Source organism: Homo sapiens, chromosome 10 (assembly GCF_000001405.40).
Source record: "Homo sapiens chromosome 10, GRCh38.p14 Primary Assembly".
Classification (NCBI taxonomy): Eukaryota; Metazoa; Chordata; class Mammalia; order Primates; family Hominidae; genus Homo; species Homo sapiens.
Window position 1 is genome coordinate 133,242,719 of NC_000010.11, and position 19,318 is coordinate 133,262,036.

The 19,318-nt window shown below is 60.7% G+C and overlaps 1 long non-coding RNA gene and 1 other non-coding gene across 3 annotated transcripts, besides 10 other annotated features; both read right to left on the reverse strand.

The window, feature by feature from the left end:
* Positions 418–1,270: an enhancer, noted in NCBI's record as "H3K4me1 hESC enhancer chr10:135056640-135057492 (GRCh37/hg19 assembly coordinates)". NCBI's record gives its function as "activates a minimal SCP1, AML or CMV promoter by ChIP-STARR-seq in naive H9 embryonic stem cells {active_cell/tissue: H9 hESC(naive)}" and the evidence as "EXISTENCE:reporter gene assay evidence [ECO:0000049][PMID:30033119]".
* Positions 1,592–2,791: an enhancer, noted in NCBI's record as "MED14-independent group 3 enhancer chr10:135057814-135059013 (GRCh37/hg19 assembly coordinates)". NCBI's record gives its function as "activates an origin of replication core promoter dependent on BRD2, BRD4, P300/CBP and CDK7 cofactors, and independent of MED14, by STARR-seq in HCT116 cells {active_cell/tissue: HCT116}" and the evidence as "EXISTENCE:reporter gene assay evidence [ECO:0000049][PMID:35650434]".
* Positions 1,592–2,975: a biological region, named in NCBI's record as "MED14-independent group 3 enhancer GRCh37_chr10:135057814-135059013".
* Positions 2,123–2,975: an enhancer, noted in NCBI's record as "H3K4me1 hESC enhancer chr10:135058345-135059197 (GRCh37/hg19 assembly coordinates)". NCBI's record gives its function as "activates a minimal SCP1, AML or CMV promoter by ChIP-STARR-seq in naive and primed H9 embryonic stem cells {active_cell/tissue: H9 hESC(naive and primed)}" and the evidence as "EXISTENCE:reporter gene assay evidence [ECO:0000049][PMID:30033119]".
* On the reverse strand, positions 3,761–5,167 carry MIR202HG (MIR202 host gene). 2 transcript variants are annotated; one of them, NR_108078.1, is made up of 3 exons: positions 5,073–5,167; positions 4,836–4,983; positions 3,761–4,332 (listed from the first exon to the last, which is right to left on the reverse strand). It is a non-coding gene; the product is annotated as an MIR202 host gene (long non-coding RNA). The 2 variants fall into 2 exon arrangements; NR_108079.1 differs by lacking the exon at positions 4,836–4,983.
* Positions 4,339–4,458: a silencer, noted in NCBI's record as "silent region_2970". NCBI's record gives its function as "represses an Ori minimal core promoter by ATAC-STARR-seq in GM12878 lymphoblastoid cells {active_cell/tissue: GM12878}" and the evidence as "EXISTENCE:reporter gene assay evidence [ECO:0000049][PMID:35858748]".
* Positions 4,544–5,058: an enhancer, noted in NCBI's record as "H3K27ac-H3K4me1 hESC enhancer chr10:135060766-135061280 (GRCh37/hg19 assembly coordinates)". NCBI's record gives its function as "activates a minimal SCP1, AML or CMV promoter by ChIP-STARR-seq in primed H9 embryonic stem cells {active_cell/tissue: H9 hESC(primed)}" and the evidence as "EXISTENCE:reporter gene assay evidence [ECO:0000049][PMID:30033119]".
* On the reverse strand, positions 4,793–4,902 carry MIR202 (microRNA 202). Its single transcript, NR_030170.1, has one exon. It is a non-coding gene; the product is annotated as a microRNA 202 (primary transcript).
* Positions 5,575–6,089: an enhancer, noted in NCBI's record as "H3K27ac-H3K4me1 hESC enhancer chr10:135061797-135062311 (GRCh37/hg19 assembly coordinates)". NCBI's record gives its function as "activates a minimal SCP1, AML or CMV promoter by ChIP-STARR-seq in naive H9 embryonic stem cells {active_cell/tissue: H9 hESC(naive)}" and the evidence as "EXISTENCE:reporter gene assay evidence [ECO:0000049][PMID:30033119]".
* Positions 15,320–15,619: an enhancer, noted in NCBI's record as "active region_4238". NCBI's record gives its function as "activates an Ori minimal core promoter by ATAC-STARR-seq in GM12878 lymphoblastoid cells {active_cell/tissue: GM12878}" and the evidence as "EXISTENCE:reporter gene assay evidence [ECO:0000049][PMID:35858748]".
* Positions 16,618–16,667: an enhancer, noted in NCBI's record as "active region_4239". NCBI's record gives its function as "activates an Ori minimal core promoter by ATAC-STARR-seq in GM12878 lymphoblastoid cells {active_cell/tissue: GM12878}" and the evidence as "EXISTENCE:reporter gene assay evidence [ECO:0000049][PMID:35858748]".
* Positions 18,960–19,289: a silencer, noted in NCBI's record as "silent region_2971". NCBI's record gives its function as "represses an Ori minimal core promoter by ATAC-STARR-seq in GM12878 lymphoblastoid cells {active_cell/tissue: GM12878}" and the evidence as "EXISTENCE:reporter gene assay evidence [ECO:0000049][PMID:35858748]".

The window sequence follows — 19,318 nt, forward strand, 5'->3', positions numbered from 1 at the left end:
CTGGGGGTCCTGACCTGACTGGGGGCGCAGGGCGGCGGGGCAGAGACACCTACACATCCCGGGCAGAGGAAGGCGGTCAGAAGCTGCAGCTGTGAGGAGGTCTCAGCACAGCTGGGCACGAGGGGTGCAGCCTGGACGCGCCGGATGGCAGGGGTCAGGGCGTAGGACAGGGCCCCTCAGGGTCCAGCTCTCTGCGAGACAGAAAGTCTTGGGGTCCAGCCAAGATGCATCCGGAAACAACAGTCTTTAGATGCCAGAACTCCTGAGCTCCACGGTGATTCCTGCCGAAGCTGAGTCACGTGTGGGTGTGTCACCCGTGCTGCACGTGGCGTGTGAGTGGGTGTGTCACGTGTGATGTGTGTGGTGTGAGTGCGTACATGTCATGGATGTGAGAATTCCGTGTTGTGCTCTGGATGTGGGGTGTATATGTGTTTGTGCATGTGTAGTGTATGCACGCATGTTACTGTATCTTGTATGCTGTGCATGTGTAATGTGTGCTGTGCCGTGTGTGTCGTGTGCATGTCCTGTGTGCATGTGTAATGTGTGTGCTGTGTATGTGTTGTGTGCACCACGTGTGTGTCATGTCTGTGCTGTGTGTGTAGTGAACGTGTGTGCTGTGTGGGTGTGTAGTGAGCGTGTGTGCTGTGTGTGGGTCGTGTGTAGTGAACGTGTGTACTCTGCATATGTTGTGTGTCTCTCCCAAGCCCCGGACACACTCTGTCAACTCTGCCTTGTCCTCTCTGTAACCGGAGTGGCTGTCAGGGCAGGGAGGCTGTGGGGCCGGGTGTGGACGCCGGGGACTCAGGCTGCCGATGGGCCCTGGGCCTGCGATGCCGCCGGGCTTCCTGCTCACCCTCCTTTCCCTCTGAGCTGCCCAGCTGCATGGGGCCGAGGGCTATGCCGGCTCCTTCCCCACGGGATCAGGTGGGAGGTGCAGTCGCTATGAAATAGTCCTGCCAAGAATCTCTGGGAACCTGCACATCTAACTTCCAGTGGACAGGAACCCTCGGGGGCTCCCAGGGCGCCCAGCTGGGCTCCTGCAGAAGCCTCTGTGAGAGAAGGTGGGGTGCCCTCGGGGGCTCCCAGGGTGATCAGCTGGGCTCCTGCAGAAGCCTCTGTGAGAGAGGGCGGGGTGCCCTTGATGCAGAGGCTGGGGAGACGCAGCCGCAGGTGCACACATGAGCCCTGACAAAGAAGTGTGGGAAAGCACAGCCCTGCACAGCTGGTGGGGATGATTCCGAGGGGCTCGGGACGGTGCTGGGGAGTGGTCCGTGTCCTCGGGTGTGGAGAACACCCTGTCTCCAGAGGCAGCGCTCAGGGCCTCAGATCTGAAACTGACATTCAAAGGGTTCAAGACATAGCATGACGTAAATATGGCAGAATATCCACTCCCCTCTCCGTGGGGAGTCCACGGGGCTCGTGCACTTCTCTTTTCAATTCTGCACCTGAGACTATCCAGGAAACTGCAGGGAAGAGGCTGCTTGGACTCGGCCCCTAGCCGGCCCCAGCGTCTCTTCCGAGGCCCAGCACTCACTCCCATTCTGAGCCCAGACTTGTCGGCTTCCAGGCCGTGAGGAAGTGGCAGAGTGCTCAGGGCCTCCTAGGCCACGCCAGGACCTCTGGAGCAAAGTGGGCTCACTGAACAAAAGCAGGCCTTGGCCTCCTTTAGGGGTGTTTGGTGGGGCCCTGCACAGCCCCCAGTCAAAGAAAAATCACCTGGGCCGGGCGCGGTGGCTCACACCTTTAATCCCAGCACTTTGGGAGGCCGAGTCAGGTAGATCATGAGGTAAGGAGTTCGAGACCAGCCTGGCCAAGATGGTGAAAACCATCTCTACTAAAAATACAAAAATTAGCCGGGCACGGTGGCGGGCACCTGTAGTCCCAGCTACTCTGGAGGCTGAAGCAGGAGAATGACGTGAACCTGGGAGGCGGAGGGTGCAGTGGGCCAAGATCGTGCCAGTGCATTCCAGCCTGTGCAACAGAGCAAGACACCAACTCAAAAAAAAAAAAAAAAAGGTAAGTACCAGAAGCGCTGGCCCTCCCCCCATTGCCTCTGCAGCCTGGCTGGGAGGCTCTGCCACCCCCACCTCAGAAAGGTTCCGTTCATGCCCCAGAGTGGCGGTCAGCTTCTCAGGGGACTCCTGGGGCTCCTGAGTACTCCCCAAGGCAGGGTCTCAGAGGGCTTCCTCTTGTTCCCAGGCCAGGAGGACCCTCATTCCCAGCCTGGCTGTCCACAGAAGCCACAGTGAGCCACTCCCCCATGGTGCCCCTCAGCCCCCACCTACCATTCACAGGACAACGGCCTCAGGACCGGGGGGCTGTGGCCAGGAGGCCTCCGTTTCTGGGACGCCTTCCAGCCCCGTCCTGGCCCCTGTGCTCCTTCCAATGCCCTCAGCAGGGTCTCAGTGGCTGGACCTGATACGTGGGCATGTCTTGGCAAGCCTGGACAGCCACCTTGGTGGGGTCTTGGCAGGAGCCCTGCCCATCTTCCTGGGGGAATTCATCCCTCTCCCTGCCCAGCAAGCCGCCCACCCTGCAGTACAGGTGAGGGCACACGGCCCAGCTCACCCAGCCCAGATCCCAGGGAGGGCATAGCCCTCAGAACCACAGCTCTTCTGGGGAAATGGGCACCATACTGGAGAGTGGGGCCTCTCCTTTCACAGCCCAGCAGGTGCTGTTAATTACACCGCAGCCTTGCAGGGACAGAGCTGGGCAGGGTACGAGCGCAGAGTGAGGCGGAGGGACGGAGCCAGGCGGGGTACGAGCGCAGAGTGAGGCAGAGCCTTTGGCTCCCTGGATCCAGCCGTGCCTGCATCCCCATTCTGCCGACACTGTCTGGAGTAACAGCTGCTGCTGCATGTCCGCACAGCACAGCGAGGTAATACCTGCTTTATCTGTGCAGCTTTAAAGCCCTATGTTCAGGTGTCCTGTGGAGAGTGACTCGAAGGCCTGCAAGAGACTCCCCAGCAGGGCCGACCTCCACCGTTCCCTAGGGGGCAGGGGGAGCAGCCGAGCTCGTTGGGGTGGGGGGCGTGGCTGCCCTTCCACATGTGGCCTGCGGCCCCCCGGCCGGAAGCACCCCACCCCTCTGCCTGCTGCCTGATCTTTCCCCTCGGACACCCCAGCTGCGGGCTGTGAGGGAGGTGGGAGGTGACTATCAGATGAGATTAGTGCTAGGCTTGGAGAGGAGGCGCAGCCTGGGGAGGCAGCCCCTGATAACCGGCCTGGGGGCCTCTCAGCCAGCTCATTGCTCCATTTGCTGGGCTCATTGGTGATAAAGGCTGTGGCCTTCAAAGACCTGGGCGTGGCCCTGCCGGCTGACGAGGACTCTGGCTGAAGGGTGGGGCCTCCCCGACTCCCGTTCAGGCCTCCTTTTAAGACAGCAGCCGACTGTCATTCTTTAAACAGGGCTGATGAGGGACCCCCTGTCCATTTTTCTTCAGTGGGAAGTCAAGACCGCAGTCCCACCCTGGCCATTGTGGAGGCCTGGAAGCTGCGGGGCCCCCGCCCAGGACAGACCAGTGCCCCCCACCCTCACAAGCCGTCCCTCTGGGCTCTCCCAACACTGCCGGCCGGTCCCAGGCTCTGGTCATCAGAAGGGTGGCCCCAGACCGGTGCCCAGCCCAGGCCCCCAACCGAGGCCCCAGGAGCCGTTTCATCCCCCCGTGTTTATGCATTTTTAACTAAGTTCCCCCAAGTCCACACGTGACTAATGTGACGTCCAACCACCGTGAACGAGAGGAGACCAGCACGACAGAGCTGCTTTGTCAAAATTTGTATTTATTGTCAAAACTTTACCACATCTCACACATTTAAATGAAATTAGCTCTACTGAAATTTCTGACCAGAAAATCAACTCATACCCATGATTACAAAAGTAATAAAGGTGTTAAGAAGCAACAGCCAGCCGGGCGCTGTGGCTCACGCCTGTAATCCCAGCACTTTGGGAGGCCGAGTGAGGTGGATCATGAGGTCAGGAGTTCAAGACCAGCCTAACAAGGTGAAACCCTATCTCTACTAAAAATAAAAAAATTAGCCGGGTATGGTGGCAGGCGCCTGTCGTTTCAGCTACTTGGGAGGCTGAGACAGGAAAGTCGCTTAAACCCGGGAGACAGAGGTTGTAGTGAGCCGAGATCGCGCCACTGCACTCCAGCCTGGGTGACAGAACGAGACTCCATCTCAAAAAAAAAAAAAAAAAAAAAAAGCAGCAGCAGCAAAAGTGCACAGACCCAGCGTGCACGCGTCTCCGCCACGCCTCACTCCCGTCTGCGCCTGGATCCACCGCCACCCGCTTGTATAAAAAGTGGGCCCCACACGGTGCAGCTTCGTAGTCTGCAAAGAAAATGTCCAAAGAATGAGTTGTGGATCCTCCCAGCCAGAGCCCAGATCCCAGGCACCCCGCCCCACTTCCCCCGACCACCAGGCGGCCCCAGAGCCCAGGTTGTCCCTCCCGCCACCTCCTGTAATGGGTCCACCCCCAACTCCGGTCAGACTGGTCACAGAGCACCGCCCAGCTCCAGCCCTCCTCTCTGCATCCTGGGTCCCAGCTCAGGGGCTGCAGAGATCAACCCAGGGCAGAGGCCTGGACCACGTCCTCCCCAGACACTTCCAGAACCCACACAAAAGCACACATCCACGTTTCCCTTGTTTTAGAATATTTGGCCCCTTTCTGCCCCAAGGATGTGGGGGTCAAAGCCCCGGGGCTCCCGGCCGAGGAGAAAGGAAGCAGGTGGAGTCCCAAGTCAGGAGGCAGGTGCTGCTGGAGCAGGTGCAGGTGCACTGGTGCAGGTGCCGCTGGGGAGGACCCGACCGCCCCGTTTTCCCATGCCCTATACCTCTTTAGGCCAGATCCTCAAAGAAGTATATGCATAGGAAAAAGGAACGGCGGGCGGCTCTGAGGCGGGCCGGCTCTTCAGCACTGGGAGGTGGCTGTCCTGGGGGAGGGTCCCGTGCCGGGCAGCAGGGAGAAGTCGGGACTGAGGCCTGGTGGGCACGGAGATCCTGTGGGAGTGAGGAGGGCAGAGCCAAGCCAGGGCCGAGTTCCCAGAGGCAGGCCTTGGGCCTCGTCTTACCTGTGGTCCAGCCTCCTGGGCCGCTGGCGCTGGGTAGCCCGTGAGCCTCGTGAGCCTGGGAGGAGCGGTGGAGAACTCTCTGAGCCGGGAGTTCTGCTGCTGCCGAGCGAGCTCCACATTTATGCGCAGGGGAGACCTTGGCCGCCGCTGTCACATGCAACCAGAGGGCTGCTCTGTGCCAAGGACCCCGTCGCACCCCCGCACCTGCCAGATTGGGGCACAAAGACCTGCTGTGAGAAGAGTGCTGAGCCAGGGCCCGCCGGGCGGGCGGGCGGCGAGGGCTGTGGGCCGGGGGCTGCTGGCCCGGGAGCTGGGATGGGGCCAGCCTGTCCCCCCGCCTCCTCCAACCCTTATCTCCCCACGCGCTTCTGCTTGCGTCAGGGGCCCGGAAAGCACACGTGAGCAAGAATCGCTTGTCCAGGGAAGGGGCCGACTCTCCTTCCTGGGCCTGCCCAGCTCAGCAATAAGCAGCACCTTGGGCTGCACCCGCAGCCTCCTGGCTCACAGGGACTCTCAGAACCCCCAGCCAGCGTGTCCAACACTGTCCTGGCCACTGGGAACCAGACCCCACCCCCAGGGTAGGTGGCCCTGCTTGGCCTGGGGCGGCCTCCACAGCTGGGGCTCCCTGAGGATTCACGGCATCAGGCGGACACTGGTCCAGTGAGGCCCAGAGCCTTCCCCGGGCCACAGAGCCCGCGAGCACGTGGAGAGGGGCCACGCTCTGCAGCCTTGGGGGCAAGAGTGCAGGGTCGGAGGGAGAGGGCCCCTCAGGGACAGCTGGCCAGACCCACAGCTGCCCACACAGAGCGAGACCACACAGGCAGGCAGACACCCTCTCCTAGGGCCAGGGAGCCCCCGGCCGAAGGGCCCAGGCAGGCAGCAGAACTCCTGCAGGTCTGGGGCTGTCCCTGTGTCCCAGGCTCAGGACACAAGGAAGAGGCCCAGAGGAGGCCAGGGCACAGGGCTTCCACAGGTGGCCAGGGACAGGGCTTCTGAACCCCAGCCAGCGGTCTCTCCCCAGGACGTAGGCAAGTGGAGGCTGGTGAAGGAACAAGGCTGAGGCCTCAGAGGCCTCTTCAGTGACCATGTCCTCGGGGAGACTCAACGTCGCTAGGCAGGCCCGTGCGGGCGCCTGGCCCCAGCACCTGTGATCTGTAGGGCCAGAGTCTCAGGACTGACCCGACGCAGCACCCACATGCGGCAGGGACACACAGAGACCCCCATAGACACACGTAGACACATATAGACTCACATAGACACACACAGAGACACACACAGACACACATAGACACACACAGAGACACAGACATGTAGACAGAGACACACTCAGACATGTAGACACACAGAGACACAGATGTACACAGAGACACACACAGACACGCACACAATGGACCCACACACCCCCCAGGTGCAGCGGGCCTTGACTGTTGTACGCGAGAGTCTCCTGTCCCCTGAGTGGGGAGGGGCGTGGGGGGCATGAGGGGCCAGGTGGGGCTGCAAGACTGTCCAGCGCCCTCCTGATGGCCCCCGAGGCGGCCAGGAGCCCCGTCTGGGGAAGGACGAGTGGGCCCTGCTGGGCAGGAGGAGCCATAGGGACCATGGGGATGATGGACGATGGATGATGACCCAGCCACCTGCCAGGCCACTCTGCAGACCCCCCATGGGAGCAGCCTCTGCCCCCACCTTGTGCAAACCGTTGATCTGCACGCCAGGCCAAGCAGGTGATTGTCACGACCAGCGATGGCCACAGAGGGGTGGGGGGGAGCACATCAGTCGGTCACAAGCCCTCCTGGTGGGGACATGGGGCTGGGGACAGGCCCTGCTCAGGGCTGGTCCCCCACAACGAGGCCCAGAGTGGGCACGGGGGGCTGCTGGGCTCCATCCACCTGCTGGCAGGCTGAGGGTTGCCTTCTGGGGGAGGAGGGAACGTGGAGCTCAGACACACGCATGCTCACACTCAGGCTCACGCACACTCCTGCAGGCATGCTCACATCCACACACACGTGCATGCACAATTCACACACTCAGGCTCACCCACACTCACTCCTGCAGGCACGCTCACATCCGCACACGCATGCACAATTCACACACTTATGCTTACCCTCACTCACACACGCCCATGGTCCCCCACCTCCATGAGGTCCGAGGATCCGAGGAAGAGTCCTTGGGGGGCTAGCAGGGGAGGGGCCCCACTCCTCCAGACACCTAGAACCTACACAGAGAGCCCCAGCATCACACTTCGGGGGCCTGGGCTCAAAAGGCCCCTGCAGAGCCCCCCATCCTGGGCCTCCGCCCAGCATCAGCCCTCCCTGTTTCTCCCCGTTGTTTCTCCCCGTTTCTCCCCGTTTACAGCTGCCCGGCGAGGCTTCTGGGAAACACATAATGCAAACCCTGACCTTGGGCTCCTGACCTCGGTTCTGCAAGAGGGAAGGAGGAGACAGGCAGAGGGCCAGAGAGACAGAGACAGAGAGACCAACAGACACAGAGAGAGACACAGACAGAGTCAGAGAGAGAGAGAGAGGCAGACACAGAGAGAGACACAGACAGAGACAGAGAGAGAGAGATCAGCAGACACAGAGAGAGACACAGACATAGAGGGACAGAGACAGAGACAGTGGGGAAACAGAGACCAAGAGACAGAGACAGTGGGGAGACAGAGAGAGAGACAGACACAGAGAGACAAAGAGAGAGAGACACGGACAGAGATAGAGAGACACAGTGGGGAGACAGAGACCGAGAGACAAAGACACAGAGACAAAGAGACAAACAAAGAGACAGAGACAGTGGGGAGACAGAGAGTAGGGAGATAGAGACAGAGACACAGAGACAGTGGGGAGACAGAGAGGCAGAGACAGAGAGACACATACAGAGAGAAAGAGCAGGGAGACAGACAGACACACACAGAGAGACACATACAGAGAGACAGAGACAGCGGGGAAGCAGGGAGACAGAGACAGAGAGACACACACAGAGAGACAGAGACAGCAGGGAGGCTCTGGGCTATTCTAGGGCATCGCCCAGTCCCTCACTTGGTTTCCCTAACTTTTTTCTGGATTATAAACCCACACCTGCTGATCAGGAAGACTTTCATCATCCACACGGGTTTAAAGGGGCTTCCAGGGACCGGAGGGTCGGGCTGCGCACAGGTGTGGGGACGGCCACCCTCTGCTGCCTCTGCAGGTGGAGGAGCCCAGGGCCCGTCTTCCTGCTGGCCCCATCGGCTGGAGCCTGGGAGCTGGGGTGACAACTGGGTGGGGGCCCAGACCCCCCTCTGTTTCCCCCTAGGCCTCAAGGAGCCACAGAAGGCTGTGGGCCAGGCAGTGGGCAGAGGGTGGCCGTCCTCACACCTGTGCGCAGCCCGACCCTCCGGTCCCTGGAAGCCCCTTTAAACCCGTGTGGATGATGAAAGTCTTCCTGATCAGCAGGTGTGGGTTTATAATCCAGAAAAAAGTTAGGGAAACCAAGTGAGGGACTGGGCGATGCCCTAGAATAGCCCAGAGCCTCCCTGCTGTCTCTGTCTCTCTGTGTGTGTCTCTCTGTCTCTGTCTCCCTGCTTCCCCGCTGTCTCTGTCTCTCTGTCTTGTGCTGTCTTGGGCTCGGGCTGCCGGGTGGAACTGGTCAGAGGGGCGGCAGCCGAGGGACCAGGTGTCAGTGTCGCCTGGCCATCCTGGCTACGAGCCCTGGAGGTCCTGAGACCCCTCAGGGGATTCTGTGAGGTGACGGGAGGGACTCAGAGCAAACCCCAGCCCCTGAGGGCCGAGGGACCACCCGCAGGTGGACCCCAGGCTTCCCGACAGGCACACCCCACACACCTGCCCCCGTCCCGAGCTCCCTGTGGCTCCCCAGTGCTTTGAATGAAACCCAGCCTGTGAGCAGGAGGACAGGGACCCACCTCACCCACTGGAGGCCGCACAGCCTGGCTCCCACCCATCCTGGGGACCTCCTGCCGGAGATTTGCAGAGTAGGGGTGGAAGGGCCTGAAAGCAGAGGAGCCCCACCCGGGCATCCTTCCCACCATCCCGGGGCCTCCTGCTGCACCGCCAACCCCGAGAAGGCCTCAGCAGTCCAGCCAGCACCAGCCGGGGACTGTGTCCTGGTCCTTCCCCCATCAGCAGGGGTCAGGATGACCACCTGGGCAGGGGCCCTGCTGTGGGTCCAGACACTCCCTGGGTGCCTCAGACCCCAATAGCAGCCCCTCCACACCAAACACACCGGCCACCCTCCCTCCCTCCACCAGAAACAGAAAGGATCTCTGTGGGTCTGGCAGACGTGCTTGGCACGGAGCTGGCGGTGATAACGGGTGGCCTTCAGGCGGCTCCACTCCCTCCATTCCATTCCTTGTGGGGCCCGGTGGAGGCGGGTGGCGGGGGTGTCCCTGCAGCTGTCTCTGGCCAAAGGCAGCCCACTGTTAACCCTTGGTGGACTCTCCCTGCTGAAGTTCCCAAAGAGGGTGGCCTGCTCCTCCTGCATCGCATGTGGAGACCTCAGTCTACACTGGCCACACCCTGAGGCTGGGCCCAACCCTGCCCAGCAGCCCGTCCTGCCCCACACCTCATCTTGCCCTATCCCACCCTGCACCCCACCGTGCCCCGCTCTGCACCCCGGCCCGCCCTGCACCCCATCCCTCCCTGCACCCCAGCCCGCCCTGCACCCCGCCCCACCCTGCACCCCAGCCCACCCTGCACCCCGGCCCGCCCTGCACCCTATCCCTCCCTGCACCCCAGCTCTCCCTGCACCCCGTCCTGCCCTGCACCCCGTCCTGCCCTGTACCCCATCCCTCTCTGCACCCTGTCCTGCCCTGCACCCTGTCCCACTCTGCTCCTGACCCTGCCCTGCAGCCCCCACCCCATAGGTCCAGTGTCCCGGGAGTCAGCACTTCCCTCAGGTTATGTGCTGGTCCCACCGACCCCTGAGTTGCAGGCCGGGCGATGTCAATGGCTACCCCAGAGAAGCAGCCGAGGCCTAGAGCAAAGCTGACCGCTCCTGGACTCAGTTTCCCCACCTGTCAAAGGAGGTGCTGGAAATAGAGTTCCCTCGGAGATGGACAGAGTCTTACAAATGAAACCTGTGTCCACCGTGTGACCTGGCAATTCCACTCCTAAGCATTTACAAAGAGGAATGAAATCATCCGTCCCCAGAAAGACTTCAATAAGAACATTCTGGGACGGGTGCGGTGGGTGGCTCACGCCTGTAATCCCAACACTTTGGGAGCCTGAGGCAGGAGGATTGATTGAGCCCAGGAGTTTGAGACCAGCCTGGGAAACATGGTGAGACCTTGTCTCTACAAAAAATTAAAAAATAAACTAGTTGTGTGTGGTGGATGCACCTGTGGTCCCAACTATGCGAGACTCTGAGGCGGGAGGATCATCTGACCCAGGAGTTCGAGGCTGCAGTGAGCTGTGATGGTCCAAGGCACTCCAGCCTGGGTGACAGAGCGAGGCCCTGTCTCAAAAAAAAAAAAAGAAGGCTGGGCATGGTGGCTCACGCCTGTAATCCCAGCACTTTGGGAGTCTGAGGCAGGCAGATCACCTGAGGTCGGGAGTTCGAGACCAGCCTGACAGCCTGACCAACATGGAGAAACCCCGTCTCTACTAAAAATACAAAATTAGCCAGGCGTGGTAGTGGGCACCTGTAATCCCAGCTACTCGGGAGGCTGGGGCAGGAGAATCGCTTGAAACCGGGAGACAGAGGTTGCGGTGAGCCGGGATTGCGCCATTGCACTCCAGTCTGGGTAACAAGAGTGAAACTCCATATAAAAAAAAAAAGAAGAAGAAGAGAAGGAGAAGGAGAAGGAGAAGGTCTTCAAACAGGAACCACTCCAAGTCCCCAAGTCTCCTTCATCCACACAGAAATGGATAAAAAATCATGATGACTGTACAAGAAAGAAGCAGACACACAGGGTCTCGGGCCTCCCCAGAGCAGGCCAAACCACGTGGGGTGACAGGGCCCCCCCGGTAGAATGTTCCGTGGCCTGAGGATGAGGTAGTTACGCACTGGACGCATTTGCCAGAGCCCTGGGCTTGTGCACTTGAGACTGTTTATTCCGCAAAAAATAAATAAAATAGAAATAAAACTTGGGGCTGTGCGGCGGAGCCGTGGGGGTGCCCGCTCTGCGGTGGTCGGCTGACCCTGGGATGCCCTGGTCAGAATAACACGGGGCCCAGGGTCAGATGTGCGTCTCGGAAGAACACGGACCATTTCTTAGGATAAATATGTCCCATGAAATATTTAGGATGCATTCACACTGTAAGTTTTCATTGTTTCACTGAAATTTGAATTAATTGTGTGTCCTGAATTTTTACTTGCTACGTCTGGTGGCCCCACACCGAGTTTATGGAGAGGGCATGAGCTTGGAGCAGTGACCAGGACCCAGGTCGGTTCGTCTGTCTTCAGGGGGCTCCCGGGATCCAGGTCAGACTGAGGACCTGAGGCGTGCTGGGGCTGCCCCAGATCATGTGTGGAGGGCAGTGCAGCTGAGTGACCGGGCCCTGAGGCTCCTGAGGCTCTGGGACCCCATGGGATGTCCCCTTGGGAGCCAGGCCCTGGAATCTGTGCTCCAGGCCGGCTGTAGGGGAGATGGAGGGCTGGGCCTGTGCCCAGAGGCTGATCACCGCCTGGCTCCTGGCAGGGTCTGGGATGGTCTCAAGGGGCTGGTGGGCCAGGGGCTCAGCTGAGCCACCATAGGCAGCCCCCAGCCCCGGAGGGAGAGGGAAGCAAAGAGTTAATCCCCGGCCCTGGGAGAGCCCTGCCCTAAGCTCAGGGCTGGCGTTTCAAGGCTGCGTGTCTGTGACTCCCTCAGAGGAGATAATCACGGCTTCTTGATATTTTCTTTCTCTTCTCCTGTGCACACCCACATATCAGGAGCACTCGCTGGGCCATGAGAACTTTCCTCTGCCCTCCAAGGCCACGGCGGGCGGAAGGGGCCAAAGCCATTTTGTCCAGGAGCCTTTGTCCCCTGGGATTGCCTGGCCAGGAGCTGGGGCCACCGGGCTGGACCCCGTGTCTCATGTGCACACGTGCCACCCAACACACACACCACACATGTACACACTACACATATATATACACACCCCACACACCACACACCTACACACCACACACATACACACCACAAATACACACCCCACACACCACACATGTGCACACCACATATATATACACATCCCACCTGTACACACCACACATGTACACACCACATATATACATACCCCACACACCACACCACATGTAGACACACACCACACACATATACACGTCACATGATGTGTTTAGTACTACACACACACACCCCACACTCATACAAAGCACACTACATGCACACACACACACTTGCAGAGCCTACCCCTTTCTCCACCACCTGGGTCTGGACCCCACACTCGGCCCAGGTCCCAGTCCCAGGTCTCAAGCCCTTGTGTGGTCACTGCCGTCCGCTGCCAGGGGCTGGGGGTCTTTCTCACTGAGGACAGGGCTGAGCTCCCCCAGGCTGAGGAGGGCTCTGCCACCTCCAACCCCCGCTGAGCGGCTGCAGTCCCTGCTCAGTCTCCTTGGGTCCTTGGTGCCCCGAGCCGATGCCGGGGCTGACCCTCAGCAGCCCCAGTTAGGCTGGCCTCAGTTGGGTCTCTGCGTGTTCCTCTGGGAGCCACAAAAAGGCAGGTGAACTCGGCTCCACACTCCGCACCCAGGTCCAGCTGCCGGCACCGCTTGGTGGCCACCCAGGGCGAGGGTGGGATTACCCAGGATGCACAGCCCCTCTGCCCCGCGGTCCCGCCGCCCACCCTCCTTGACACCCCGCCACCCCTGCTTGGGCAGCCACGGGGAGCTGTTGGAGGGTGGAGTTCAGCACAGAAGGAGACAAAGACCTCCAGGGACAGATGGGGTGGGGGCCACCCTGCCAGGGCACTCTGGCCTCTGGACACCCCCATCAACCCTCCCCGGTCACATGGCTCTGTTTTTCCTGGCGAGGGCGTCGCGTGGATGGTGGGTGAGGCCCACATGCTGGGGGTCAGCGGTGCACACGATTCAGCCACGTCCACAGCTTTTCTTTATTTCAGGGTCTCACTCTGTGGCCCAGGCTGGAGTACAGGGGTGCAATCTCGACTCACTGCAGCCTCCACCTCCCAGGCCCAAGCGATCCTCCCACCTCAGCCTCCCAAGTAGAGGGGACTACGGGCACCATGCCGGGCCAAGTTTTGTATTTTTTGTAGAGACGGGATTTGGCTGTGTTGCCCAGGCTGGTCGTGAACTCCTGAGCTCAGGTGATCCGCCCACCTCGGCCTCTCAAAGTGCTGGGTTTACAGGCATGAGCCACCGCACCTGGCCTTCAGTGGCTCTCTGAGGAAGTTATATATATTTGTTAAACATACGTGTCCTTCTCAGAATCTGTGAGAAGCGCAGATACAATTGTCAACAGATTCCAGAAACACGGGGAGCAGCAGAGCTTTGCCGCCGCCTCTCTCCAGCAAGCTTTGAACAGCCATTGTTTTCATTTATTCCTGCTTGTAAAACGACACATTGTTATGATGGAGAATTGTGAGTACTGCAGAAAAGAAATAAGTTTTGCCACCAAAGGCGATCACTGTGGATCATGCCGGTTCCTGCACACCTGTGGGGTGCTCTGAGCGTGGACTCCCCACGCGAGCCGTCCAGACGTGCTCAGGGTGGCCTCCCCTGCTTACTCCTTTGTGCTTTCATTGCTAATAATTTTAGTCAGTCGTGTCTGCTCTACTAATTTACTATTTGAAGTTATTTACAGCTTGATCTAAAGAAGCTGGCCAGGCGCAGTGGCTCACACCTGTAATCCCAGCACTGTGGGAAGCAGAGGCAGGAGGATCACTTGAGCCCAGGAGTTCAAGACCAGCCTGGGCAACACAGTGAGACCCCCATTGCTACAAAAAATGAAAAGAATTACGCAAGGCGCAGTGGCTGACGCCTGTAATCCCAACAGTTTGGGAGGTAGAGGCGGGCGGATCACCTGAGGTCAGGAGTTTGAGAGCAGCCTGGCCAATATGGTGAAACCCCGTCTCTACTAAAATACAAAAATTAGCCGGGCGTGGTGGCGGGCGCCTGTAATCTCAGCTACTTGGGAGGCTGAGGCAGGAGAATCGTTTCAACCCAGGAGGTGGAGGTTGCAGTGAGCTGAGATTGTGCCACTACACTCTAGTCTGGGCAACAGAGTGAGACCCCTGTCTCAAAAAAAAAAAAAAAAAAAAAGGAAAAGAAAAGAATTAGCTGGGCGTGGTGGCACGTGCCGGAGGCTGAGGTGGGAGAACGGCTCCAGCTGCAGTGAGCTGTTCTCCGGCCTGGGCAGCAGAGCCAGATCTGTCTCAAAAATAAAAAACAAAAAACAGAAGCTTTAAGAGATTTTTAAATTCATTTTTACTTTTTTTCTCCTTCATCTACCCAAGATTGTACTCCGTGAGGGGGTTTTTGAAGTAAATTTCATGACAGCACATTATTCAGCAGTGAGTTTCGGACCATATGTTCCCATTTTTACAACTTTTGTGCACCCTAGGGTGTTTTCCCCTAGGAAATTGTTGTTATATTTCACACATGCAAAAATAAACGCCAGGTGATGTGAGGGGCACCCACACCCACCTTCCCGCTGAGAAATGCAGGCCGCCCCCAAGGGGAGCCCTCATCCTGCAGGTTTCCTCCCGAGTCCTGGAATTCTAAAATGCGCTCCTTGCACCTGGGACTCTTCCTGCCAGCTCCACTGGGGAAAGCTCCTCTCCACCTCCCCTGCTCCCTCCGGGCCTCTCACGGCTCCCCCCGCCCCTCCTCTGCCCCAGGGCCTGTGCTCCTACATCCCGGCAAGCCGCAGCCCCGACACTTCCTCCTAATTTCCTGACACTCCCCACTCCCTGGCGGGACGTTTTACTCCTTGCTCTCCTTCCCACTGGAGGGCGCGCGCTTTCTAGCTGGCCGCGTGGGCAGGCAGAGGACCAGGTGCAGGCGGGCGCCAGAGGACAGAAGGTGGAAGTCAAGCGGTGTCTTGGCCGTCCAAGGTCCCAGCACAGGCACTCAGAACCCCTGAGCCCAGGGAGCTCCCAAGGGTCTCACTCTCCTCTGCGGTCTTTGCTGGCCGAGGGCAAGGCCGGGTGAGGACGGAGAGAAGCAGCTCCTCCCCACCACACACCCAGAGCTGGGAGGGGCCAGGATTCAGCACCCTCTAGGGGTGGGCACGGCAGACGCGGTGGGGACCTGGCGCTGAGGTCCTGGCTCCCACTCCAGCGTGGCCTGGTGGCTTCTCCCCGGTTGGGGTACCCTGCACAGGGGTTGTGGTGCCTCCCAAGGGCCAGCCCCGCCCTGACAACCTCTCCTCCAGCCAGGATGGGGTCCATACTCCATCGAGAGGGTTCCTGGCTTCAACACCCTCCACCAGCCTCATGCCACCAGGGCCCTGGTCATCCTGGGGACCCTGCAGAGGGCCTCCTGGGCCTGTCTTCCGGCGGGTGAGCCGGCCCTGCCTGTGGGTGTCTGGGGTGTGGCCTCCAGGCACCAAGCACCCGCTGGCTCCTGATACCTGCCTTTCTGGCTGTGGTGTGTCTCTGGCCTGGCGCCTGTTTCTGAGTCCCTGGAGAGAGCAGGTTCCTCGCAGGTGGCAGGCAGCCCTGTTTGTGTGTGCATGAGCCTGTGGGGGCACCTGGAGCTGAGCGGTGGCCTGTGCTGTCACCACCCGGGGTGGCAGGGCAGGGTCTGGCACTGCCACAGCTCCTGACAGAAGCTGCCTAGGCCTGGGTTGGCTCGGGCTTCTCGGCCAGGCCCTTCCCCAGCACTTCCTGCCCAGCCCCAGCTGCAGGACCTGCTGAAATCTGTGCTGTGGGAGCCCTGTCTCTGAGGGGTCACTGCAGTGACTCCAGAAAACCTGAGTCTCCTGATTCCAGGAGCACCGCTTGCAGCCTGCCACGTGCATGACCCAGCATGACCCGGACTCCTGAGCCAGGACCGAGTCCCCCTGACAGCGGGGAAGCGGCGGACCCTGGGGGCTGGCACCCGCCGTGGCCCTCCCCAGCCCACTGTGGCACTGAGGGGCTGCTCCCCTGGGAATGGCCCCTTCCTAGAGGCAGCCCTGGCCTGGCTTCGAGAGGGGCTCTGGGAACAGGCGGCCCCGGGTAGCTGACCACACCTGACCAGGCCAGTCTTTGGGAAGCCGCCCTCTCAGCCTATGCACTGCAGGGACACTGGGTGGAGAGGGCTGTGCCTCAGTGCCCCTGCAGGGCGGTGCAGCAGCTGGCCGTGCAGGGGGAGGGGGCCTTGCCTTCTGGCTCAGGGAGGAAGCGGCTGCTTTCAGCTGCCTTCGCCTTGCCTCCTGAGGCGGCTTTGGAACCCTCCTGAGGTTTGTGGCCCTGAAGTTCCTTCCTGAGACCCCGCAGGGGACTAAGCCCTCGGCCCAGGGGCACCGGGGAGGGCAGAACCTCAAGACAGGGGCCCGGGACACAGGACAGAGTGTGTGGGGCAGGTGTGCAGGCTGTGCCCAAGGGGCCTCGGGGTTGAAGGGGCTCTTGGAGATGATGTCGACATCGCGGTTCCTGAGCGGGTGCCCAGATCTGGATGAGCTGTTTTCTGGAGAAAGCAGGAAAGTGACGTCATTTTGTGGCTTCAGATTGACCGCAGCCTGGCAGAGAGGGAGTGGTGGCAGGAAGTGAAGCTGCTGGCTTCCCAGTCACGGCCTCCATGATCCACGTGTGGCAGCAAGAATCACAGCTGCATCATGACACCCAGAGGGAAAGCAGCTCAAGCTGCAGTTTAAGGCGACTCCACGGAGGGCCCTGGCTTAGTTGTTGCACAGCATGGGGTCAGATGGATGCCCTGGAAGAGTCAGCAGAGACCCCCTGGCCTTTGGAGTTTGTCTCTGAGCGAGAGACACTGTTGGGATGACCGGCGAGTGGCGTTGGGTCCACATGGGGGCCCTGGTCCGGCTGAGTCTACTGAGCACAGGCCTGCCCCTTGCCACCCAGCTCTGCCCATATGTGGCCGTCATTCCTGGGCTTCACCTGGGAAACGTCCTTTGAGGCAGCTCAGCTTTTCCACAGTGGGTCACGTTGTTTGCTGCTGGAGACTGGCTGAGTCTGTGCTTCCAGTATAGGAAGGTTTAGGAGGCGGTCAGCAGGCCTCTCCTGTGGCCACTGTGCCCGAGGCAGGTGCCTGGGGTGAGAGGGATTCTTCCGGATGTGGCCGTGCACTGCCCAGCAGGCCTGGAGTGAACGTCTGTGTGGAGTCCGGGCTCCCATCCAGCATCCCTTAAGGGTCCTGATGGCTGGAGCTGGGGGAGGCAGGTATGGCAAGGGGCTTCCTGCACGCAGGAAAACTGGAGACCCCTGGTGAAAGAGCCAGGTGTGCACCTGCAGAGCCAGGCATGGGTCCACAGAGCCTGTCAAGCCTGGTTTACACCACAGAGCTGGGTATGCGCTGAGAACCAGGTGTGCACGGAGAGCCAGGTGTACACTGCAGAGCCGCGTGTGCACTGAGAGCAGGTGTGCGCTGAGAACCAGGTGTGCAGAGAGAGCCAGGTGTGCACGGAGAATCAGGTCTGCAGAGAGAGCCAGGTGTGCACTGAGAACCAGGTGTGCACGGAGAATCAGGTCTGCAGAGAGAGCCAGGTGTGCACTGAGAACCAAGTGTGCAGAGTCAGGTGTGCGCTGCAGAGCCGGGTGTGCACTGAGAACCAGGTGTGCAGAGAGAGTCAGGTGTGCGCTGCAGAGCCGGGTGTGCACTGAGAACCAGGTGTGCAGAGAGAGTCAGGTGTGCGCTGCAGAGCCGGGTGTGCACTGAGTCAGGTGTGCAGAGAGTCAGGTGTACACTGCAGAGCCGCGTGTGCACTGAGAGCAGGTGTGCATGGAGAGCCAGGTGTCTGTTGAGAACCAGGTGTGTGCAGAGAGCCAGGTGTGCACTGCATATCTAAGTGCTCATGTGGAGTCTTGGGCTGGGCAGGTGCTGCCCAGGACCCTGGCTCTCTGGCTGTCTTCTGTGCATTTGGGGATGGGAGAAGGGGCTCGGCTCTGGCTGGAGGGCAGCCAGGCAGACTTGCCAGCCAGCACCGCCAGGTGATAAGAGCTGGTGCCCACAGGTACTCAGCAAATGTCTGCATTTTGGGGAGGGCTGGAGAAAATGAAGGCCATGCCCTCTCTGCAAGGCTCCGCACAGGCCCTGTTTCCCAGTCCTTCAGCCACAGGGTGTCCCGGCAACAAGGGTGCCAGGTCGCCTGCACCCTGACTGTCTCCTGCGGAAAGGACAGCGCCTGCTCCTTGTCCTCCAGTAGCTGCTGGACTCCGGGGTCTGGGTGCTCTGGCGCCCGGCGGCTGGGTCCCCACTACAAGGTAGACACCAGCCTTGAATCCAACTGTCGAGGAAATGGGGTGGGCGGCGGAGGCTGGGGAGATCGGGAGGAAGGGAGGTATGGGCTTGAGAGACAGGAACCCACCCTCTGCAAGTGCAGTGGCCTGTCCCCTCCAGAACGCTCTCATTCTTCGTGCTGAAGGGAGCTGGGGGCGTGGCAGGCCTGCGAGACGAATGGGCGCTATCAGCTCAGGGCTCTGCCTCGGAGGAGCCACCCGGAGGCAGCACCCATGGGTGTGGGGGCTTGGCCACAGGGGACGTCAGGCCTCCTCGGTGCAGCACCAGATGCGTCTAACAGCCTCCGCCCCGTGGGCGCCCACTCAGACTTGCTGCTCAGGTGCCTAGAGCAGAAGCCACCTCCTCAGAGGCCAGCGCGCCAGCCTGGCACCACGGGGACGCTCCCAGGGGGTGCCCAGAGGGAACGTGCGCATCGGGCGGGGTACTGCGGCGCGTGTGGGCCGTGAGCCCCGCCCTGTAGTCGGACACTGGAGTCCCGGATCCTACAGATCTGAAAGGCTGAGTCGGATGCAGCAAAGGCGAAGCGGGGTTCGCAGCCCCAGACTCTTGGGCGGGGGGGTCAGCGAGCAACCGGGAGGGGCGCCGCGGGCCATTCGCCGCTTCTCCTGGGCCGAGGGCGCAGGCCCCTGCCGCGGGGGCCCCTCGGACTCCACGACTTCGCGGACGCGCGCCCACCGCCATAGCTGAGGTCCCGGGCCAGGCGGCGCGTGGGTGGCTGAGCGGGAGCGCGTCCAGCCAGGCGTGGAGGCCGCGCGGGGCCGGGGTCGAGCCCAGCATGGCGGGGGGGGTGCGGGGCAGTGGCCCGGACAAGGGCATGGGGCCGGAAGAGGCGGGGCCGTTGCCAGGAGACGAGACGGAATGGGCGGGGCGCGGGCGGGGGCCGTTGCCGGGAG